The sequence below is a fragment of the Homo sapiens genome, chromosome 2, assembly GCF_000001405.40.
Source record: "Homo sapiens chromosome 2, GRCh38.p14 Primary Assembly".
NCBI lineage: Eukaryota > Metazoa > Chordata > Mammalia > Primates > Hominidae > Homo > Homo sapiens.
Genome location: NC_000002.12, coordinates 236,798,261 through 236,823,371, shown reverse-complemented (window position 1 = coordinate 236,823,371; position 25,111 = coordinate 236,798,261). Strand labels below are relative to the sequence as shown.

The 25,111-nt window shown below is 46.2% G+C and overlaps 1 long non-coding RNA gene across 1 annotated transcript, besides 2 other annotated features; it reads right to left on the bottom strand.

Annotated features, from left to right (window-relative positions):
• Positions 4,795–5,295: an enhancer, noted in NCBI's record as "H3K4me1 hESC enhancer chr2:237726720-237727220 (GRCh37/hg19 assembly coordinates)". NCBI's record gives its function as "activates a minimal SCP1, AML or CMV promoter by ChIP-STARR-seq in naive H9 embryonic stem cells {active_cell/tissue: H9 hESC(naive)}" and the evidence as "EXISTENCE:reporter gene assay evidence [ECO:0000049][PMID:30033119]".
• Positions 11,777–12,359: an enhancer, noted in NCBI's record as "NANOG hESC enhancer chr2:237719656-237720238 (GRCh37/hg19 assembly coordinates)". NCBI's record gives its function as "activates a minimal SCP1, AML or CMV promoter by ChIP-STARR-seq in primed H9 embryonic stem cells {active_cell/tissue: H9 hESC(primed)}" and the evidence as "EXISTENCE:reporter gene assay evidence [ECO:0000049][PMID:30033119]".
• On the bottom strand, positions 14,617–19,170 carry LOC107986002 (uncharacterized). Its single transcript, XR_001739954.1, has 3 exons — positions 19,090–19,170; positions 15,428–15,542; positions 14,617–14,697 (listed from the first exon to the last, which is right to left on the bottom strand). It is a non-coding gene; the product is annotated as an uncharacterized LOC107986002 (long non-coding RNA).
• Positions 19,171–25,111: the final 5,941 nt, after the last annotated feature.

The window sequence follows — 25,111 nt, the reverse complement described above, 5'->3', positions numbered from 1 at the left end:
ACAAACTGCAGGGATCCCTCTGTGTGCATGCGTGCTTGCCGCCCCCATTAGACCCAGAAGTCGGGCAGAGAGCTCTGTGTGTAGCTCACTTCCCCACACCCAGCACCCCGCACAGAGGCCACACGTGGGAGACAGGGAATTACTGGATCAATGACCCCATATGAAAGATAAGGAGGCTTTCATGGCACCTACACTTTGTTCAAAGTACACACTATTTTTTCTTTTATCTTAAGTTTCTTCCTGTATACTGACTTATTTTCCTAAACTAATTAACACATTGAAGGATCTTCTATCTTTAAGAAAGAAAAATAAAGAATCCTAAGATACAAAGAAAAAGAGAAAAAGGGCCACGTGCGCTGTCTCACACCTGTAATCCCAGCACTTCGGGAGGCCGAGGTGGGTGGATCACAAGGTCAGGAGTTCTAGACCAGCCTGGCCAACACAGTGAAACCCCGTCTCTACTAAAAATACAAAAATTAGCTGGGCATGGTGGCATACACCTGCAGTCCCAGCTACTTGGGAGGCTAAGGAAGAAGAATCGCTTGAACCTGGGAGGCGGAGACTGCAGTGAGCTGAGATCATGCCACTGCACTCCAGCCTGGGCGACAGAGTGAGACTCCATCTCAAAAAAAAAAAAAAAAAAGAAAAAGAAAAGAAAGGAAAGCCTCTCCAATTCTACCTCTCCCTCTGTTACTATCACATTTGAAAGATGAGGTGGCCTTTATTTCACCTTTTCTCACTTCCATTCATCTTGTGTCCTGCTGCAGCCTCCCCCTCCCCTCTTCCCTAAAATGGCCTGGATGAACTGCAGAATTCTATCCTGTGACTTGTCTCTTGAACCCCAAAATGATCCGATAATATTTCTGTCTTCTTAGACAAGGAGCAGTGCTATGAACATCATTTGCATCTTTCCCATTATTAGGTCTAAACAGTGACACACAGAGAGGGTTTGGCCTTCTTCCTCCTCTTTCCTTCTTCCTCCTAAGGGGTGTGGAACCTTCTCCATGACCTCCAAGCCTTCCTCTTCCACCTCCATCATCTGACATCCAGTGGATGACCTTGCCTTTCCCTTCACAGGAACAGTGGAATCACCAAGCAGAAATAGCCTCAACTTCCCCAGCATTTCCACCTCTAGAATCATATCTACCTTTGCCTACATTGCATTGTTTGCTGAATAGCCCACTACTCCAAAACTTAGTGGCACAGAACTGCAATAAACATGTATTATCTCACAAAGCCCAGGAATTCCAAAACAGCTCAGCTGGGGGTTCTGGCTCAGAGTCCCTCACAAGGTTTTAGTCAAGATGTCAGCTGGGGTTGAAGTCATCTGAAGGCTTGGCTGGGGCTGAGCAACTGACTTCCCATCTGTCTTACTCTCATGGCTGGTATAGAAGCCTATTTTTCCCTGGCTGTTGGCAGGAGGCCTCAGTTTCTCCACAATGAACCTTGCTGCAGAGCTACTTGAGCATCCTCACAACATGGCGGCTGGCTTCCCCCAGAGAGAGAGCAAAGTATAAGTCACAATGTCTCATATAGCCTGGCCTAGAAGTGGCACTTCATCAGTTCCCTGATGTCCTTTAGGCTACATGCAGCCCTATTCAGTGTTGGAGAGAACAACACCAAGGTATGAAAAGCAGGAGGAGAGGCTCATGGGGCCATATAAAAGGCTGGCAGCTGGTCCCTTCTCCTTCCTGGCTTCCTCAGCAATGCACTTTCCCCTTTATCTTTAGTCTGTCTCTGTCTATTGACTTCTTTGCCTAAACAAATAAGTATAATCAATATCTGCTAATATTGTAATAAAACACAGTGTTGACCCCATCTATCTGATTTCCTGAAGAGGTTCATTAGAAAGCCATCTCTACACCATCTGAGCCTACTCAGCTGCATTCATGTTCTAGCCCACCACAATCTCTCTTTGGACCCTGCTCTACCTCCAACACTCTTGCTGTGGTCACCAGTGAAGTCCTAATCGCCAAATCCAGTGAGCACCATGGCTTATGTGGCATCTCTGGAGAAAGAGACAGAGGTCATCTCTCCTTCCTTCCTACTTTCTCCCTCACCTTCTCAGAATCTTTCTTTCCCAGGTCGTCTCTGAATTCTGTCTCTTCTACATCCCCCTGGCTGTTCCTTCCTCTGCCATCTCTCTCAAGTTCTGGGATGTGCAGGGATCCCATCTTCAGTCTCTCCTCTCCCCTCTCTCCACCCAACACAACCAGAGGCTGAATCCCCAGGCACAGTGGTCAGGCAGACCTGGTTTGAATCAAGTCACCCTGACTGTCTGGGTGACCTTAGCTAAGTCACCTAACTCTCCACGTACCATGTTCCTTGTCTCTAAATGGAGAGCTTTGTGGAGACTGAGTGTGCTGATGGATGCCAGGACGGTGCTGAGCACAGCGCCAGAGGTGACAGATGCTCAACATCCCATGATCCTGCGTCAGGAAACTTCACTCGCTGGATTCAACACTTACTTGTAGCGGATTCTAATTTCACAAGTCACTAACTCAGGTACACAAACATTTCCCCATATCCCGACTTTGTATTTTGAGCCTCCATTACCGCCTGACGATTGAGAACTTAATCTAGTCTCTTCCAAGTAAACTCAGCCAGATCTGGTGATTTATTAGTATTTTCAGGATTAAACTCAGTCCAATTCAGGACCTTCCCTCCCCCCACTTCCAGAGCTCTTCTTCCAGGGTCACACCTGGGTTCAGTGCACACCTGACCCCATCATGGCATCAGAAGCCAATGTTTGACTCTTAGTCAATATCTGTGCATGCAGCTTCCATGTGTCCTGTTGTCTCCTCAGCCACGGTCACTTGCTGTCACCCGCTGAAATATGACCATCCAGGCTGGCCTGAGACTTCACTATCTCCCAGAGCTGACAGCAGCTGCGGTGTACCCTGTCACCACTTCTAATCCAGCTCCTGGGGGTGGGGGACACCTTCCTCCCAGACAGTACAGGTTTGCCAGCTGCTCCTCCTCAGATGACCTCCATGCCCTTTTTGGCCCCAGTGGGACCCATTTGCACCCCTGAGTGTCCAGGGGCTTCTGAGAGTCCCCACAGGTACATCTGCAAGGACTCCATGCCCACTGCTTCTCTGCCATTCTGGTGCCACATTGCATACCTGGCTTCTCTCCAAGACCTTCTGCTGCCCTGGCACCCCTTGGGAAGAAAGGCATGGGATCACGGCAGGCAGGATCTGCTGACGTAGGTGGATTCTTTTTTTTTGTTTTTTCTTTTGATCTCGGCTCACTGCAAGCTCTGCCTCCCGGGTTTACGCCATTCTCCTGCCTCAGCCTCCCGAGTAGCTGGGACTACAGGCGCCTGCCACCATGCCCGGCTAATTTTTTTTTTTTATTTTTAGTAGAGACGGGATTTCACTGTGTTAGCCAGGACGGTCTCGATCTCCTGACCTCGTGATCTGCCTGCCTTGGCCTCCTGAAGTATTGGGATTACAGGCGTGAGCCACTGCGCCCAGCCCGTAGGTGGATTCTTACTGCTGCCCACCACCCCTGGTACTCAGCCAGATGAGGTCTGGTAGAGTGCGGGCCCTAAAACAAGTCTCTGCCTCTCTAATGTCTCTCTCAGCTGGCTGCTTCTGCCGCCCTGCTGGTTATGAGTGGTGCTTGTCTGGACACTCACGGAACAGATGGGGCGTCCACTGCTGTTTTCTGCAAAGAATTTGGCTGCACATCCAAGCCACTCCCCGCCTTGTTCTTTTTTTTTTTTTAAATTGAAACCAAAAAGTCCACAAACTCACCTGGTTTCTCTGTTCTTAATTCTCTTCCCACATGGGGCAATGCCGGAGAAATGTCTTCCAGCCTGACAGGGGAATCGCAGGGTTAAGTTATGTGTGTGACCAACACGTGGGTTCATTCTGCACCCCATGCTGCCTGAGTGCAGACACCATATCTATCCAGTGCCCTTGGCTGCTCCATGTGAGCACTGACCATGGCCACCTGGACACCTCCAAGATGCCCAGCAGGAACACCAGGGTCACCCACACGTGGCCCACTCCTCAGGCCTGCCGTGTCCTCACCTTCCATCCCTCGGGGCCACCTGCCCTGCACGCTCACATTTGCACATTACTCTCTCTATACATACATTTTATTCTCAATGTCCAGCCAATTTCAATACCACAACTTCCCGCCTCTAAACCACAAAACACCTTCCCACAAAGAGCTGAGACAAGCCTCCTGGTCCCTGCTTTGTTGACAACCAATCCTTGTGGCCCTGTATGGTAGGTGTCCAGTAGAACTGGCCGTATAATTTAGGGAAAAAACCTAGAATTTAGCCCAGACACAGCCATTACATTACTCAAGAGATTTTTTTCCAAGATGGAAATTTATCTGGGTCTACAATGCTTTAATTTCCCTCTTGGCATCTACCTCCCATGAATAAATCAGGTCATGCATTTCCTGAAAGTTTTCATGATTGATTTGCCCCACAGGCTGCCGTCCTTGGGTGCTGGGTTACTTCTCAGCTGCAGTGTGGGCCCCCAAGTCCCAGGGTGAGCAACTCCACCCTCCACGGGGTGGTGAGGGTCTGAGCTGATGGATGGGCTGGGTTTCAGCTCTGACTCTAGGTCTGGAATTCGGCATTCCCGGGGGACCCAGCTTTCAGGAAAAGTCATTTCTTGCCTTATTGATGCTCCAGGAGGTCAGGTTATTTGACTTTTGACATCCTTTTCCTCCTCGTGAGATGTTATGATTAGACATTCTCTTATCAGCTGATCTAATGTAAAGAGCCGGGTGGGAAAGAGGAGCGTAGGAAGTGGAGCTCGTGCCAAAAGCCTGACGCTTGTGATCAGCATGAGCTCCCTGAGGAGGGACCGATGCTATTCTCAGTCATGACCAAAGTTACACCAGGCATGCGGTGCTCCCAGCAGGGTGCTGCCGGGGTAGCCTCTGGGACGCACCTGTCCTCACTGCTCACCTTCCTGAGTCAGGGCTGCCTGGGAAGCAGTGGCTCTCCTGAGTTGGCATCTTTGCTGCTCTCCTTTGAGTGCTCACCTGGGTGACTCTGGAGCACACTGAAGCCCGAGAGCTGGGTCTGGAGCCTTCCAAGATGCCCCGTCACCCCTCCAGGACACGTGGCTGTCTCTGTCCAGAGAGCCACACACCCAGGCCTGGCCCTGTGTGCCATCAGGAGGTGAGTTTAGCTCTTCCCAAGGCCCTTCCCGGTCCCATCTGCCAGGACAGTGCTGCTGTTGGTCCCTGCCCTGGATGAAGAACTTGGGTATCACCTGGCACCCATCGGGATTCTCCCTTTATCAACCCACAAGCACAGCCTCTATGACTGCACACCTAACAAGCCTGGTGCCCACGTGTGACCTGTGGTCTCTACGCTCTCCAGTCTTCACCATCTCATAAAGAAACTCTGGCTCCAGCCCCCCTTCCCTGGCACTCACACCCAAATGCAGGGCTCTCCTGGAATCCTCCCATCCCACTCAACGCACCCTCTCTACCCGCAGAATGCAAGATCCAGAAGCACTCCTGTGGGAAAGACCCAGGTCGGTCAAGTCACCTTCAGGTCCTAACATCAAAGTGGTCCTTACTGTGAATGTCATGCCCTCAGTGACCAGCCCTGAGGGCCCAGTGGTTACCTTCTGCTCAGCGAGGAGCAGAGGTGGAGAAGCCTGCCCCCGTGGCAGAGTTTAGTTCTATTTTTTTTGAGATGGAGTGTCGCTCTGCCCCCCAGGCTGGAGTGCAGTGGCAGGATCTCGGCTCACTGCAACCTCCCTCCTGCGTTCAAGCCATTCTCCTCCCTCAGCCTCTCCAGTACCTGGGATTACAGGTGCACGCCATCACACTTGGCTAATTTTTGTATTTTTAGTAGAGATGGGGTTTCACCATGTTGGCCGGGCTGGTCTCGAACTCCTGACCTCATGATCCGCCTGCCTCAGCCTCCCAAAGTGCTGGAATTACAGGTGCGAGCCACCACACCTGACCTCAGAGGTTTAGTTCTGTTCACAGTGCCCTGAGCCAGCCACCACAAATGGAGTTCCGAGGTGGCAGAAGAAGCCATTGTCGTTTAGGCTTTTTTAGACATGGCAGATAAACAATTAATGAAAAAGAGGAAAGAAGGGAGAAAGGAAGGAGGGAGGGCCAGGGAAGGGAGAGAATGAAAGGCAGGACCACAGTCTTTGTCGTTTTCTTAAATAATTATTTATCTAGTAAACTAAACCCTAGTTCGATTGAATTTTTATGTATGAATAGTGATCTGAGTCCATGCACTGAACCTCCTCTACCACCAACTCCCACAACAAATGCCAAAGAAACATCGCGAGACTGGGATTCGATGCCGGTGGCTTGAAGGTTGTCCTCCACAGGCCAGGGGACTTGAGGAATCACTGTCAGGTGCCGTGCAGGCCTGGCCAGACGGTGACGAGGACCAGCCCCTCCCCAGAGAGGGCCAGGGAGGGCAGGCCTAGACCCAGGCCATGCATCACGGGACATGGGGCAAGACCACAAGAAAAATAAGACTCCAGAGATCCTCACAGCAGACCTTGTTCAGCCAAAGCCCCAGACTCCAATACAACGGAATGGGAACCTGGTGGCAGGTGTATGGAGACTCCACGCTCCGATGCTGAGGAATCCAGAGCTAGAAGAGAAGACTGTGCTAGAGGCAGGGGCCTGCATCTGGACGTTTGAGCTTCTCCCATGGGAGGAGCTGAGAGGCAGGCTTGGAGGAGCCTGGAGGCCCAGGAGGGAAGGGTGGCCCAGCAATGACTGCATGATCCAGGAGGTCACTGATGGCCACACACCGTGCAGGGAGCGAAGCTTCCATCTTAGGTGTGCCTGTGTGTCAGAAGAGGGTCATGGAGGGTGCCTTTAACTCACCCTAGACAGCAGCGCCAGGGTCTCCTAGGCCCCCTGCCGGGCAGCCCTGTTTTGGTACCTGGACTCACCTCTCAGCAGGAGCCCGCACGCCTGTGTTACACAAGGGGTGTGGTCACCAGCCGCAGCTCCTGCTGGGCCTCCACAGAGGTGCCAGCCCTGCCTGAGCTCTCCTGATGACCCACGAGGCCGGCCGCCCACACCTGTGTTTGCCGGGGGCACGATGGCCAGGAGCTCACTATAAGGGAAGAGTGAGTGGGCACAGCAGGCATCTGCTTTAGTGGCAGGGGGAATGGGCTACACCATAGGACATCCTTGGACTTACTGAATCTCCTGGTCTGAGCCCCAGGGATTCATATGGGAGAAACAGAAGTGCCGTGAGGACATGGGAGAATGTGGAAGATGCTGCTGAACGCAGAGACTCTTAACACGAAATGTAGGAAGAGGCATTGCCTGCACTTTGTGGAAAACCTCACCGCCCAGTGCTTTGGCAGAGGTGGCCTGGTACCCCAGGAGAGAGCAGGCACAAAGGCAGGGTCTGTGTGAGACCCTGGAGCCCAGCAACCCTGGGTCTGTTCACTGCACCTGTGCTTGGCAGAGAAGGCCAGGCCCAGAGGGCACTGCAGTCATCGGAGAAACACCAGCAAGGACCAGTGGGCTCGGGCACACCCACAGGGACAGCAGCACGCCCCAGAGGAGGCTGATGTCATGAGGTGCCAGCCAGACCTGCTGGAGAGCCCTGGGAGCCGTCCTGGGAAAGGCCCTAAATGTGACGGGGATGAGGACTCTCCTGCACTGGCTAATAGAGGCAGAGAAGAAAAGAAACATGTTTGCGAAGTGGTGCATATGCCACCACAGTCCTGGGGGAACCCGAGTCAACTCCAAGACTGTCGCCCATCTGTGCATTCCTTGATTCATCAAATACACGTTGATCATCACCATGTGCCAGGCACTGTTCTGTGCCCTGGGCTTTGGAAGTGAACAGGACAAACGAGGTCCTTTCTGTGTAGAAATGCATCCCGAGGATGGAAGCAGACAACCAGCAAGTGAATTGAGACGCATCCCATGTATGTACATCTGCAACCCATATATATGCAGGCATACGTAGATACCTGTGTATATTGCACAGTGTATCTAAGCAGATATTTAAATGCATATATTTAGTTCATTTTTTTAGTGAATCAATTACCATAAAGTTAATTATTTGGGGGTCTTTATAAAATTTGGAGTTAAAAGATCCCCAAAGCTGAGCGAGAGCCCTGATGCAGGTAGACATATTAGCCCTGTTCTCAGATTCTATGGGACCAGCACAACGTCTTTCTTCCAGAACGGGTGGTCCCTCCTTACACTGGCCCACTCATGACCATTTTGCACTGGGCAGCTTCCCCGGAGGTACCTGGTCCCATGGCCATGTCCAGCCACAACAGCAACCCACATAGCATGGCTTAGGAAGACTTTGCTCTTCTTGCCCCAGAAGGAAAAGTGAAGAGTAATGATCTACCCAGCGGCCCAACACATGTGAAGTTGCTTAAATTACATTCCCAACATGTACCAATGTGTCAAACTAATTTGCCTTGTTATTCCTGGAACAGATCATCTTCCTAGCAACACGAGTGTTGCCTTCATAATGCTTTGGTGTCTATGAGGGCCAGAGGAACCACATGCTAACGCTGTTTTAATAGGCACAGAAACACAGTTGCTAAATCTCTTTGTGGCTTTTCTTATAATATTTGTTCTTATATATTATGATCGTTCATGTGTGCCAATGTCAACTGTTAAAGGGGAGAACACTGCGATTGCTATTAAAAAGCAATCAAGAATTTGGAAGACTCATGCCTGGCTTTCCTGCATAGAATGCTGTTTGACAGTAATAAGCCATCACATTAATGCAGTAGCTTGAGTTTTCAGAGCATCTCTTATGCTTTCTTGTTAGACTGTGGCACTGGGCAGGCTACATAATATTTTTCCCTTTTTATAAGGATGTTTCTTCTGCACATCCCTTGGTTAGTGGAAGGCAGACCCCATGTAAATGTCCAGTCCTTGCCCACCAGGTTGGAGCAAATAACCTGGCAAAACCCCTCTTTCTCAAACCCCATCAACTAGGGTTGCCGTTAATCCTGTGGCTATTAATGTAGGATCAATACGCACCCTTTTGTTCATACATTTCTTCCTTTTTATACTCATAGTGCTTGCTGAAGTTTGCCCATCTTGCCAAGGGCCATCCTTAATGCAGACAATGGAAGAAGTCTTGGGAAGAAAGACTAAAGAGGAGAAGGTTTTGCCTGCTCACCGCCTCCACCCGCCACCCCACTCCTCCACCCAGCCTCATGCCAGCCCCATCGAGGTACCGTGGGGAGCAGGTGCTCCCTAGCAATGGGAGTGGAGACCCCAGCTGGAGGCAGAACAGAGAACGGCTGGGGCCATGAAGTCTCCCTACCTCTCAGGGGATGGCAGAGGTTTCCAGAGAGCCACGTGGGAGAGCCACCAAGGCAGGGAGCTCTGCCAAGACAGAGGGTGTGTTCAGCTTGAGCCTGGGGCCCTGGAGTTGGGTGAGAGCTTCACAGAGCTGATGTTTATTGATGCCGTTTTCTGTTAACTAAGTTAAACCTCTCTCTGAAGCAGTGCTGGCAGGCAGAGCTGCCTGGGGGGGCAAGGGGGTTGAGAGGGGGCGTCTATTTTCCCAGGTGCTGGGTGGGGTTCAAGCCAAGGGAAGTGAAATACAATCCCCCCAAGTGTGAAACTCCCCTAAAAGTAACCTTGCCCTTCATGCCAGAGGCCTCCCTCTCTGTCACCAGGGCTGCACTTGGATTTCAGCACACGTGCTTCCATTCAGTGCTTTGTCCATGAAATTCCACACAGAAAAACAAAACCAAGCCATAATGATTTTGATTGGAAATTACTGCTCTCTAACATAAAGCATATTTAATGTCATTAAATTTTGTGGATTATAACTCCCTAGTGAAGAACACAGCAGTCAGGCTGCACAGCAGCCCCGTGTTCAGAAAATGGCAATTTAGTGATTTTAGAGCCACATGATTTATCTAGGAGATCAGAAATGTAATCAAAATGACATCAACGAAAACCTGATTTGCTGGTTTTTAATTACAGTTGGCCCTTTTTAGTTGGGATCACATATTTACGAATTCACCTTCTCTCTAAAATCAACACCTGAGGTGCTTTTGAGGTTATTCTCCCATGCACCAAAAGCAGCAAGAACTTTGGGTCACCCCCAGCGTGCGCGTTGTTCCCCCCGAGATCGGGCAGGCAGCACTCTGCCTTCTTTGATGGCCCTCAATACTGAAAACGTGTCCTTTTGGCAGTGCCATTTTTGTTGTTGTTGTTGCATTTTTGTGCTTTTTTGGTGATTCCACTGCTTTAAATGGCCCCTGAGTGTCATACTGACAAGCTCCCAGGTGTTCCTAAGTGCAAGGCAAGGCGCCCACAGGGAACATGCATTGTTAGGCAAGCTGTGCGCAGGCAGGGCTGCAGTGCCCTTGGTGCCAGAGACACCATTCATGAATCGACAACACGGTACATCAAGGAAGTGGAAGCAGAAATTTGCCAATCTGTACATGAGGTGGCCCTGGAAAGTACTGTATTAGCATTGCTAGTGTGGGATGAAGCTATGGAAAAGATAGGAAGGGCTAAATGTGTGGATTCATGAGATGAGGACTGGTTGAAAATAAACGGTAGGGACAAAAGCACTGTTGTGAGGCTGAAAGCCCAATAAATTTATGATCATATTACTCAGGGTCAGGAAAATGCTAAACCCTTCTCAACTCATGTTTTATTATCTATTATTAATTATTTTTAAGAAATATATATTCAGTAAGGTGTCTTTAAACAGAAACACACATAAAACAGGGTGACTTATCGATCAGTGGATACAAGTGTTGTGGCCATGGGCTCACGGGGACTAACCCTGTGTTTTCCCTGAAAGCGATGGCCAGTATTTGCTAATTCCATGTTTGTGGTGACTTTAGAGAACATAACTACCGTGAGTAATAAGAATCGGCCAAACAGTTGGCCCTCGGTGCCCACAGGTTCCACACTCATGAATTCAACCAACCAAGGATGGAAAATATTAAAAAAAAATTAAAGTAATATAATAAAACTAAACACAAATTAAAACCAATACAGCATAACAACTGTTTGCATGATATTTACATTGCATTAGGTACTACAAGTACTCTAGAGATCATTTAAAGTCTATGGAAGGTTGTGCATAGGTCATATGCAAATATCATACCATTTTATATCAGAGACTTGAGCATCCTCAAATTTTGATATCCGCAAGGGATTCTGGAACCAATCCTTGCTGATACCAAGGGATGACTGTAATTTTTTTTTATTACAAAAGTGATACATGAGGAAAACTTAAAGGATGAAAGTCACAAAGGAAAAAGTCATCTGCTGTCTCATCTCCTAGAGATAAGGACAATGAAAATTTTGGTTTATGCTCTTTTTGCCTTTCTCTGAGCTTCCAGTGTTTGTGTATATACTTTGCACCATTGGAACTTTCTATTTTCTTCTTTTGATGCTACCTTAAAAGCAATGCCTTGTTCAATAAACATTCTCCTACCACCTGATAGCTTTTTTAGTCATATAATATTCCATCCTATGTATTTATGCTGATGCTTGTGTCTAATCCTCTATTTTACGACAGGGTTTCCAGGTATGGCTGTGCAGGTTGTACACTGCACAACAGCACCCAACAGACATCATGTGAAGGATGAATGCAGCTCACACTCAACTTGCCAAGCCATGCACCTGGCTGGGGCTGTAGCTTCTTGGAGGAAGGGGCACTTGTCAGGCCATGAGCTTGAGGCCTGAGGCCTGAGGCCATGATCCTGACCAAGACAGCACCCCTTTTTCCCATTTCCTTGGGGAGACTACATGGGCCAGAGGAAGGTCTCTGGTTGTGTTACTGGGGGAGGGTGTCCAGGTTCTTGGCATTTTGAACAAAGAATTGGACAAAGCACACAAACAAAGCAAAGAAAGAATGGAGCAACAAAAGCAGAGATTTGTTGAAAACGAAAGTACACTCCACAGTGTGGGAGCAGCCTGAGCAGCAGCTCAAGGGCCCCGATACAGAATCTTCTCCAGTCCAAGTACCTGCTAGAGGTTTCACACTGGCCACTTGGTGTTCACCCCATGTAAATTAAGTGGTAGCCCCCAATCAGCCTGATTGATTGCTTTCCACAGAGGCTGAAGTGAAGTTACAAAGGTCACATTCATATGCAGACATCTGACTGGTTGCAGAAAACAACCAGTCAGAGACTAAATTGAAGTTACCAAGTGGCACTTCAATGCAAACGAAGACTTGGCCCGCAATCAGTCTGATTGGTTGTGGAATCAGAGGCTGAAGTGAAGTCACAAAGTTATACTCCTATGCAAATGTCTGATTGGTTGCTTCTTGCCAAGGGAGTACCCTCTGGTCCTTTTGTTACTTAAGCATGGAAAGTTAGGGCTTTCCTTTCAATTTAGTTCTAAAAAGTCAATGTGAAATGACCTTAGGTTCCCTGCCTCCAGACCCTATTCTCCTGCCTCAGTAGGACATCCAGGCTGTTTCCAGATGAGGGCTCATGAAACCAGGGAGGCTGTGAACCATTTTGACTCACGACTCCTCCTTGCTCAAATCACTGACTGTTCATTATTGAGCAATTGAGAGTTAAAACGCAGCAATTTCAAATGAATAAACCAAGTGAGAAGTGGAGTAATAACTTAAAAATATATTTATTAATTTAGAATCTACCATTTCAGGAGATATAATTCAGATGACTGTAAGCTAAAGTAAACTCTAACTTTAGAAAGGTTCTTACCAAATAAATTAAGTAGGTCAAGATTTAGATTAGAGGCAAGATGTTAAAAACTAAAGGAGCAAATCTTTTTTGTTTGTTTTTTTGTTTGTTTTGAGACAGAGTCTCGCTCTGTTGCCCAGGCTGGAGTGCAGTATTGTGATCTCGGCTCACTGCAACCTCCGTCTCCCAGATTCAAGCAATTCTCCTGCCTCAGCCTCCCGGGTAGCTGAGATTACAGGTGTGCACCACCATGCCTGGCTAATTTTTGTATTTTTAGTAGGTACAGGGTTTCACCATGTTGGCCAGGCTGGTCTTGAACTCCCGACCTCAGGTGATCTGCCCATCTTGGCCTCCCAAAGTGCTGGGATTACAGGCATGAGTCACCTTGCCGAAACCAGGAGCAAATCTTTCAGTGACCCTAACCCTCCCTCTAAGAAAGCAGCATTGATATGTGAATAAACTCATTCTAAGTCCTTCTCATTTATTCATGAATGCTGAGACATGGGCAGGGTCCTCCCTGCTCAACCCTGAACAGACAGTATGACTTGAAATAAGGGGAAGAGAGTGTTAACAAAACACCAGGGGTCTGTCTAGGTCCTGCTGCTTGCCACACAGAAGCCAATCACTGAGACAACAAGTATCACCAACTAAGAAGGCTTTAATCAGGTACTGCAGTTGAAGAGATGGAAGATCAGTTTCAAATCCATCTCTCTGACCCACTAAAACTAGAGGTTTATATAGCAGGGAAGAAATGTAACCATGCCTAAGAAACCAGGAACTAGAGAGGGGAAGGAAGCAATCATGGCAAATGAGAAGTGAGGCATCTTGTTGTCTGAATGCGGTGATCTGGTAAGTTTCAGTTCTTTGATACTTTTTTTTTTTTTTTTTTTGAGATGCCTGGGTGTCCTTTCCTGAGAAAGGAACTCAGATAAAACAAATGTAAGTTTCAAGCTACCACCAAAAGGGTCAATTCATATGTTTATCCAAAAAAATTATCTATGGGACTATTGGGTCAGTTTCCAGAAGCTGGCATTAATTTCAAGCCCTTTTATGCCAAAAACTCTTACTCACATTGTATCAGGGAACCTCCGTTTTTTGTCAGCTTCTTCTGAAAAATTAGATGATTCAATTAACCATGCTTCATTATTTTTCCGATTTAGAAAAATAATTCTTACATTATTGTTTGCTAAACTTTGGGTTTTATTTTGGGGCATATTCAGTAGCAGTGCTTTAACCAAGAGGATTTCATTATTAAAAGTCTATAACTCAACTTTAATTAGACCCTGCGGCTCTTTGCCTTAATGACTTATAATTAGTAAGTCATGGAATTGATGTTTTATCTGCTAAGGGCTCTGTCCAGGATGGAGAGACCCCTGGCCTGCAGCCTGACTTGTCCCGTTCCTTATCCAATTGCCATCTGAAGAGTTAAAATTCAAATGAATAAACCAGAAAATGAGAGAAAGGTTAAACTACATTTTATTGAGTTTTTAGAAATAATTTCTCTCTAATTGGCTAAACTATATTCCTCTGTTTATCATTTCAGGTAGGAGCTTTATTTCCTGGAAGTCCCCTGGCCCCAGTACCCACCCTGCCTCTCCACAGCCTCATGTACACAGGCCTGATCACCTGCTGCAAGCTCCGGCACAGGAGTATAACCCAGCTAACCTGAGTTTGCAGCTGTGCAGGGGAGATGCTCCTCCTCTCCCCAAAATCCACAGGAAACAACAAAACGAATGAAAATCTAAGAGGACAATTTCTCTTCCAGGGAAACTATTTAACGCGACAGTGCAGCCAGCTAAGCAGCTAGCCGTGGGACTCCAGGTTCACGGTGAAAGGATGGGTGGGATTTTCTCTTTCTTCAAATAAGTGGCTTCTGCTTTGTTTTCCCAGACTCCATGCTTCACTTAGGCTCCACGGTGGAGTCAAAATTCCAAAAGGTGCAGGTGATAGGGAAGGTTGCCCCACAGATGTAGGTGTCAGGATTGCTGTGCCAACAGAGGGAGGTGATCAGTGGATTACCCCCTGATGGGGCAGCTGGTAGGTAGGACAGGTTGCCCTAGAAAAGAAGGTGATCGGATGGGTCACCCTGATGTTGCAGGTGACAGGATAGGTTCCCCACCAAAATCAAGGGAGGAGTCTTTAGGGAGCAAGACTGTCATTCTAGAGGCAGCTGAACCAGGGCTGGGAGGAGACCGTGAGCTAGGCTCCCTTAACACAGGGATGGTGTGAGCCTGGCTAGGAGGCACTGTGCAGGGCCGACAGGACCTCAGATGGGGCAGCATGACCACCTGTGAGGCCATGAGACCAGTGAGTGTCCCTCTTTCATGCTGAAACATTGGAGAGGGAGGGACCACGGGTGGGGGATGGAAGGGTCTCACTCGGGTTCCTAGAGCAGATGAGCAGCTGCAGCCATCGCACAGCTAAAGACCACACTCACCACGGCATCCTGGAGCCAAGGACATTACAGTCAATGCTCAGATGAAGGGAAAGGAACCATGGCTTTTCCCCGTTGTTGTTCTGGGCACATGGCACTGGGCTCAGGGAAAGCAAGAAGCCTATTAATGCCATTAATGGCAGACACTTCTTGCCAGCCTTGACGAGTCGGTACTCAAAACTGAATTTAATTCGATTTAGAAAAAACAAGTGCACCTTGTCCCCTTTTATATAAGGAAATGACCCAAACTCCAAGCCATATAAAATGAAGACTATAAATATTTCACTGTAGAACCAACTTGTTTAAATGGATGTGCAAAGAAGAAAAAATTATGCTAAGTCTCCAGACCCACCTGGGCCTCTCAAAGGCAAGGCTTCCAAGGTCCATGTTTAATTGCTCCAGGTGGAGATGATTTCAGTTCCTCACAGTTCCAATCAGCTTCCATAGCATCTTCCATTCCACATGACCTGTTTTTTAAATTGTTTTCCAGTAGGTGAATTAGGGTACAAGGGGAATACATTTTCTGTCTTTGCTGCACTGAAAATGTAATAATTTTTTTTTTTTTTGACGGAGTCTCACTTTGTCACCAGGCTGGAGTGCAATGGCACGATCTCGGCTCACTGCAACCTCTGCCTCCTGGGTTCAAGCGATTCTCCTGCCTCACCCTCCTGAGTAGCTGGGACCACAGAGGCACCACACCCAGCTAATTTTTGTATTTTTAGTGGAGATGGGGTTTCATCATGTTGGCCAGAGTGGTCTCGGTCTCTTGACCTCATGATCCATCTGCCTTGGCCTCCCACAGTGCTGGGATTACAGGTGTGAGCCACCATGCTTGGCCAACAATGTTATAATTTTGACTTCACTTGATGGATAGTGTTGCTGGGTATAAATTTTCAGGTTCAAAGTAATTTTCTCTTAGAACTTTGGCATTATTCTTTATCTCATGATGCTGAGGAATCGGAAATAATCTGAATTTTATTTTAATCTCTTTATAGCTAACCTGTTCTTTCTCTCAGGAAGCTATTAAGATTTTTTAAAATTGGCCGGGCACAGTAGCTCATGCCTGTAATCCCAGCACTTTGGGAGGCAGAGGCGGGCAGATCACGAGGTCAGGAGATCAAGACCATTCTGGCTAACATGGTGAAACCCTGTCTGTACTAAAAATATAAAAAATTAGCTGGGTGTGGCCGCATGCACTTGTAGTCCCAGCTACTCGGGAGGCTGAGACAGGAAAATGGCGTGAACCCGGGAGGCAGAGGTTGCAGTGAGCTGAGATTGCGCCACTGTACTCCAGCCTGAGTGACAGAGCGAGACTCCGTCTCAAAAAAAAAAAAAAAGATGTTTAAAAATTATGCTCAGAGTTGTAAAATTTCAATAGCACATACCTAGGTATTGGTCTTCTTCTCTTCCTTTTTTCATTACTCTTTCTTGGTGCTTGGTGCTCCCCCCTCCCTTTTTTAAATAAAAAGTGGTATTTTTCCTAAGCTTAATACATTTTTCTTCTATTATTTTTTCCCTCCGTCATCTGCTTTTTCCTTCTGAGACTCCTGTTACAAGGATATCAGATGTCCACAGTATATTTCCATTTTTATGTATTCCAGGCATATTTCTACCAACCCTTTGTTTAAATATATCTAGTAAATCAAGATTCACTGCTTCTTGACAGTGTACTCACCACTGTGAAGCTCTATTTATTAAACATTTCTTTAAAATATTTATTTGCTGGGATTTGGGACTGGAATGGACAATAAATAACATTCTTTCTCTATTCCTCATTATTTACCAGAAATCCTCCTCCTAGTAACTTGTTGGTTCTAGTTCTATAATCAGAATTGCATAGAAGACCTCTCCACTTAAATTACTTTATACACAATATCCCTCTTTAATTGTTTTCAGGGCCCGCTGTGCCCCTGTTCTTCAGCTGTTCCTTGAATTCCACAGTTTGCACATCCATCCTCTTGGCACCTCCCCGGTCCCTCAGTTATTACTGTCTGCGGATGTACACCACATCTGCTGCTTGGCCCCACGTTCCGGGAAGTGATTCCACAGTTTCTCTAAGCCTGGACACTTAGTCCCTTTGCACAGAAAGATACCCTCTTTTTGTCCCTCCAGCTATTTCACATCAAAATTATGATTTTTTTATTCTTTTCCTCTTCCAATCTACAGACCATTGTTCTTGTTTAGGGAAACAGGAATTAGGAGCCTGGGGCTCTCCTCCCAGCTTTGCTATTGAATAGCTGGGTAATCTTAGGCAGTGCACTTACATTTTCTTGGCCTCGGTTTTCTGAATTAGTGTACTTCCCAGACACCAGTCCAGGGACTGGGGCCAGTAGCAAAAATGATTTTATGACTGCATAGCTAAATGAAAACCCTGGAGACAAGAATATGTGTGCATTAAAGAACTTACTCATGTGCCCAAATACCATCTGTTCCCCTAAAACCTATGGAAATAAAAAATAAAAATAAAGTGACAAACAACCTTAGACAGAACTCTCACCATTTTAAATCTGATTAAACTCTATGCCAAACAAGGAAGAAAAAAAAAAAGACTATGTGTGCATGTAATTAAAACTGCTAGTTTGTGGAAATTTCTATTCTTTATTCTGATATCATAACTTTCTAATGGGATTTTATGAGTGTATGTGTGAGAGAATACACACATTAATGAAATCATCATCATAATTATTTACAGTTTAATTTTTATCTTATATGAATAAGATATGAGTAAGGAAATATCTTTATATGAGAAAATTCGAAGTTGATGATTGTATTGTTGCCATCCACTTTATCTTGCTTGTTGTATTTAAGTGGTCTCTTAAATCCCAAAGTCCAATAGTCAATAAATTAGACTTTGTATAACAGTTTTCATATCTAAAACTACAGAATTATTTTACAATAACTACTAGGTGTCTAATATTCTTTTCTAAAGACATTTTCAGCAATGATTTCCAAAATCTTTGCATAAGTCCACATGAAAAACTCCTTCAAATTTGAATAAAGTCATTAATTTGATCTTCTTTGAAGAAAGATACTCTTTCTTTTCCAAGAAAAAAGTTAAGTTTTTTCCTTTCCACATTGTCCATTGGGAAGCTCAGACCTAAATGTACTGGGATGTTATAGGAACCTTTTTATGTATGTTCTGTATGTTTACTTATGTTTTATTTCTCTCCCTTTCTGTTACTTTTGGTCTATTTTTGTTTTTAAAATCTATTTTTATTTTTAAAACCTTTTAAACAAATAAGCTATACCAAAACCTTTTTGAGATAAGGGCACAAATAACAAGTACAGAATAAAAGAAAAAATTTTAACGTAGACTATAAACACATGGGCCAGGCGCAGTGGCTCACACCTGTAATCCCAACACTTTGGGAGGCAGAGGTGGGTGGATCATCTGAGGTCAAGAGTTTGAGACCAGCCTGGCCAACATGGCAAAACCCTGTCTCTACTAAAAATACAGAAATTAGCTGGGCTTGGTGGTGGGTGCCTGTAATCCCAGCTACTCAGGAGGCTGAGGCAGGAGAATCACTTGAACTGGGAGGCGGAGGTTGCAGTTAGCCGAGATCATGCCACTGCACTCCAGCCTGGGCAACAGAGCGAGACTCCATCTCTCTCTGTCTCTCTCTCTCTCTCTCTCTCTCTCTCTCTATATATATATATATATGCACACACACGAATAAAAAATTTAACAATCTTGAGCAAGAAATTCATATGAATATAAATTGATAATGATTATATGAAACAAAATTTAAAATTATTAGTAATCAAAGAACTGCAAGTTTACACAATAGGAAGATACACTTCCCCATCCCTCATCCCAAAATGAAAATTGGTACAACTTTTCTGGCAGACAATTTAGCAAAAAACACCAAAACTTTAAAATGTGCGCGGCTCTTGACCCCAGGCTTCTACTCCTTGGCATTCTTTCTAAAGAGCATGATTAGGGGTGTGTTTGATGTATTAGTTAAAAATATCATTTTAGTCAGGATGGTGATAAGAAAAAAATTTGTAACCAACCTGAAGGTACAATAACAGCTCTGGATTTGTCCAACAGCTCTGGATAATGCACTCCAGCCTGGCCGACAGAGCGAGACTCTGTATCAAAAGAAAAACAACAACAAAAAAGGCCACGGGGTTTTACACAGAGGTTGCTTCCCACGGGGTTGCAATCACCTGGTAAGCCCCATTCTGGTTCCCACCACCTAACCTACACCTTTGCAACTAGCCACCTTCACAGTCCTTGGGCAACCGTGTGGCACCATTTGCTGCTGTTACCACCCAGAAGCCGCAAGGAATGAGAGGAGGGGAGAGGAACAGGAGCCCAGGGGAAGGCACTTGGTGTGGAAGGGCAATGGGATGCCCGTGAGGGAAGCAGATGTCTCCCGCATAAGAAAGCAGGAGACGCGCAAGCCCAGACCCTGTGCTCCTGCCTCTCTCTCTGACCTCTGCCCGGGAATCCCCATTGACGGATCCCAGCCCGAAGCCAGAGGGTAAAGGAGCCCCATGCTGATCACGCAGGCCCGCGCCCAGCACAGGGAACAGAGGGAGACAGACGGGAGCAGAGGGGCTGTGCTGGGCCAAATGGCCGGCAATGTGCCGAGCGGTGCTCAGCACTTGGGAGCACTCAGAAATGAGCCGAGCAAACACAGCCCCGCACACACGCACTTGTTTGTCGTCGCGGGAGTGCATCCCCTTCTCTGCCTCACAAATACTGGGCACCTCTCCAGATGCGGCCTGGGTTCTTTCCTGGAAAGCCGTTTGCAGCTTCTCTCTACTTAGAATGCCATCCACATTCACCTAGCACGGTTCTCATCACACACTTTGCTTCCTTGACTGTTTTCTACCCCTAGACTAAAAGTTCCTTCAAGTCAGGAATTGCCTTATTTGTCGTTATGTCCTGGGCACCTAACAAAATAGCTTTTTGCTTAATATTTGTTGAAAAAGTACAGAATCAAACGTATTATGGCAATACCTTGGGAATTTTAACAAATGCATATTTTTACTTTTATATTTTATTCATTTTTATCCCTTCTACCACAGACTAAGGAGGGAACAGAATAGTACATTTTAAAAATAATTATATAGAGTGAAGACTTGGACTCCTTTGCTCCATCAAGTTGTAGCAGAGATGTCCAAATGCCTTCCCACCCCCACTGGCTCCGTGATTCAGTGGACATGTGACCAGTTCTGCTCCATGGACTATGGCCAGAGCTGGCCCATGTCACCTCCAGCCACATGAGTCTGACTTGTCTATGTTCTGTTGTCCTTGCCACGGGCACCTGGGGACCTCATGTTCTAGAAGGTGCAGCTACGAGCTTCAGGACACTCCGTCAGCCTGGGCCTTGAGTGACTGCATGGATCCAAGGCCCCCACAGACCCTCGCTGACCAGGTAACGTCAGCATGAAATGAACCTTGCTATTTTAAGCTGCTGAGATTTCTTGATTTGTTCCCATAGACTTGCCTAGCATGAAGAAGGCACAAAATGCACATTCCTCTATAAAAAGGACAGTTGACAAGTTTATCTCTAAGTTCCTTTGTAACTGTTATGGGCTAATTTATGTTCCCCCCCAAATTCATGCATTGAAATCCTAACCCTCAGTATCTCACAATGCCACTGTATTTGGAGACAGTGCTTTTAAAGAGGCAAGAAGGCTGGGCGCGGTAGCTCATGCCTGTAATCCCAGCACTTTGGGAGGCCGAGGTGGGTGGATCATTTGAGGTCAGGAGTTCCAGACCAACCTGGCCAACATGGTGAAACCCTGCCTCTAGTAAAAATACAAAAAATTAGCTGGGCGTGGTGGCGGGCACCTGTAATCCAAGCTACTTGGGAGGCTGAGGCAGGAGAATCACTTGATCTCAGGAGGGGGAGGTTGCAGTGGGCTGAGATCACACCATTGCACCCCAGCCTGGGGTAGAGAGTGAGACTCCATCTCAAAATCAAAAACAGAAAAACAAAAAATGAAGAAGTAAGGAGTTTAAATTAAGTAATAAGAGCAGGGACCCCATCTGCAAGCCAAGAAGAGAGGTCTCAGGAGCCGACACCTTGGTCTTGGACTCCCAGCCTCCAGAACTGGGAGAAATAAATTTCTGTTGTTTAAGCTGCCTGGTCTGTGGTGCTTTGCTCTGGCAGCCTTGGCTGGCTGATACATAACACTAATATTCTGTAAGTTTCATCTTATATATGAATGATTGGAGTGGGGGAGACTCTATGAGCAAGACTCATGGAATAGGGGAACAATGGCATACTATTTTCTCTTTTTTTAGAGTTCCTTATTAACAATAGGATAAAACTTTCATAAGGCAACATTCAAGAGCAAAAGAACACAATTCTCTTTTTCCTCTCTAGGCAACTTTAACTCTCTTAGCATTCCAATCAAGGCTGTATGATGTAATTTCAGAAAGAATATATCTTTATCTTGAAAAATACATTTTCTATGGGTGTATACCTATGATGATGACAAAAATTTGGCCCTAAAAATCTAAGGATGCAGACCATATTAGTTATCATTTATACAGCATCACAAATCTTTCTTGGGAGTCAGATTTAAGAGCTTTTTTTCTGAATGTGGGGACTGATGTATTGGTTCACGCCAATGCAGGCATAGAACAGTAATGAATGAGCATTCCAGCAAAGAAACAATGAACCAGGTTGGCAGATCGGCTGCATAAATGCCTCCATCTTCCCTGCCATGTCCATCACACATCTCGTTACCTTGTCAGTCATCAGGGCGTCTGTCCCCAACCCAACCTGCACATGGCTCACAACCCTCCTTAACAACTGAGCTGCCACTGTCACTGAATGAGGGAGGCCACGTGCCCTAACACCCATGCCCGCAGCCTTCATCTCCAACTTCCACCCCAGAGATTTATCATTTGCTTGCTTGCTTCTTGTTCTTTGATGTCTTGTTCTCCATTTAGTCGCCTCTTAATTCTGTATGTGTCCCTTTGCTGTGGGTCCAATTATGTTCCCCAAAATATATGTTCAAGCCTCCTGTGAATATGACCTTATCTGGAAATAAGGTCTTCGTTTTGCGGATGTCAGTAAATTAAGATGAAGTCATACTAGATTGGTGGTGTGGGCGGAGTGTTGATCCAATGATTGGTGTCCTTGTAAGAAGGTGAGATTTGGATACAGAGACACAGAGGAGAAGCATCCACAGGGAAAGAGACCACGTGACGATGGAGGTGGAGATTGGAGCGAGCGCTGCATCTGTGAGGACAGCCAGGGATTGCGCAACCACCAGAAGCTGGAAGAGGCGGGGAGGAATCTTCCACGCACCTTCAGAGGGAGCCTGGCCTTGCAGCACCTAGACTTATTCCCAGGCTGGAGTGCAGTGGTGCGATCTTGGCTCACTGCAACCTCTGCCTCCTGGGTTCAAGCAATTCTCCTGCCTCAGCCTCCTGAGTAGCTGAGACTACAGGCACCCGCCACCATGCCCAGCTAATTCTTGTATTTTTAGTAGAGACGGGGTTTCACCATGTTGGCCGGGCTGATCTCGAACTCCTGGCCTCAGGTGATCCATCCGCCTCAGCCTCCCAAACTGTTGGGCTTACAGGTGTGAGCCACTGTGCCCGGCCACACCTTGACTTCTGACTTGCACCCTCCAGGAGTGGGAGATAATAAATGTCTTCTCTTTGTAGCCACCCAGCTTGTGGCCATTTGTTACAGCAGCCACAAGAAACTAATACACTTTTTTTCCTGCCAATTTCTTCCTGTAGTGTGGTTTAGCATCAATGGTAGTGGTAGGTCTAGGTAAAGAAGAAGACACACATATGCACACGTGCACATTAGGTATGCACACACACACACACACAGAGGATAATAAATGAAGAAGTCCAGGATTGTGTAATGCAACATGCTATAAATACACACTTTTTCCTGACTAAAGGAGCATAACACTACATAGTTAATCTTAAATGAAACTATGCTGACACATATGACCTCCATTTGATATACTGCCTTCTATATTGGAAGGAGAAATGCACTTTTTATTTGCCATTGGCCAAAATCAACTTCAAAAAAGTTCAACTTATTCTAGCTTTTTCCTCTAAGCACTCTTAGACTTGTGACAACATTTAAATGACACCTCTAGGAATAAATCCTGCATTTGTCCTCACAGATATCCATGTTGCTAAAATTATACAATAAAACAATAACCTAAGTGATGAGTGGCTTCCTCATTTCTAGCCTCTATGTCTTTGAGTGGGACTGAGAATCAAAGTCAAGATCTGGAGGGTAAAGTCATAGTTTCCAGTCACTGAAAGGAGATAAAATGTGATAATTTATCAGAAACAAAACAAAAGTTTAATTTTTTTTAAACTTCATACCTAACGTGGTAGTGAAAGAGCCATGAAAAACAGACATTCACATTTTCCTTCCTACTTTATATGCTTTAATTTTTTCCTAAGTTGAAAGTTTCATAATGGACCATGGGTAATGTCCTAAGCAGCTGAGACAATTCTGGAAAGAGAAGTTATTTTACACAGCAGGACACGTGTCGTGGAAAATCAATGTCCTTCCAATCATAGAACCTTTTGATTGCCTTGATGAGAAAATTTTAATCTTCTGCAAGGCTTTATGGTGTAATGACTAAAATGGGCAAATTAAGGTTATTTTTAATTATTGTTTTTCTACAGAGAGCTTAACACCAGAGCATTCTTTTGCCAGATTCATAAATCTTAAGCAGTTTTGGCCTGCATAGGCAAGCGTTGAAACAGGGATGCAGGGCAATGTTGAAATACTTAGCAGGCTGCTCAGAACCATTCCAAAGCTGATATTTTTAGAGTGAAGTTTTGAAAATACCTCTCAATCGTAATCCATAATCAGAAATGCTCTCCATAACGATGAGAGCAGGAGATCATCCGCTGAGTGGAAAATTCTGGAATAAACACAGATCTTGGGGACCACAGTTCTGAATACCGATTGCTCTGTGACCATCAGCCTGTCCCAGACCCATCAAAACTGTGCGTGTGTCCCTGGCAGGCCTGGTTTCTCCCGGTCATCAGCCTATCAGCAGGACAGTGCCTGCCCGGTGCCTCCTGGTGCAATATAATCTCCTGGCTGCAGAGGTAATTGCTTTAAGGAAATGAGACTGTACCTGTGAGGGATGCTTGGGTCTCAGCTGCCTCCCAGAACCCATACATCCTCAGTAGGAAGGGGTCTGCTGCACTCCAGCATGGAAAACAGTGCACTTGCATGGAAAACAATGGCAGCTCAATCAAGAGTGAAAGTACCGAAGCAGAACCATGGGATCCCCACAGCCAGGGGTCAGGGCTGGATTTGGGCATCTTAAATTCCTAAAACGTGATCCTCAACCTGTAGTTGATGAACCTCTGTGTTCATCAACTACAATGGCAGGCAACAAAGCAGACTTTCATAAAAGCTCATTGGAAATGGTTGCTGATGCAGAAATGCACCATTCAGGTGAACCTTCTAGAAATGACTTGCTGCCCAGTTGGAGGAGCATGTTCAGCTGGCATTTCCAGCTATGGACTCCTTCAGGGTCCACCTCAGTGTAGAGCTCAGGTCATGTTCTCCTTCAGGCACCATCAACAATGAGCTAGCAAGGTGTTGCAAGGGCCTGGCTCTTACCGCCCAATGCAGGGCTCCTTGAATGGCAGGACATGCTTTGCTCCAAAGCCCCCTCCAGGCTGGGGAGGCTGGGACTTTGCCAGGCTGCACTACAGACTGATGGCTTCCTCTGCCCAATCCTGCTTCCTCCCCGTCACTTTCACAGCTGTCATCTCAAGCAAACCTCTTCCATCCTAACTTCATCTCAGCACTGCTTCCCGGATAACTCAACCAATTCCGACGTGATCAATTCTCTACACAGAGAACTTACTGAATCCTCAAGGATCTCCAGTCAAAGAGAACAAAAGGAGTCAGTGTTGGTGGCTTATTGGTAAAGGGAAAGGCATTGCAGAAAGAAAATGGAAACTGGGCCCACGGATTAACATACATTTAGAAGACAGAAAATAGAATTTCATAAGATTGAAAAGCAATGACCATCATAGTAACATTCCCAGATACTTTAAGCC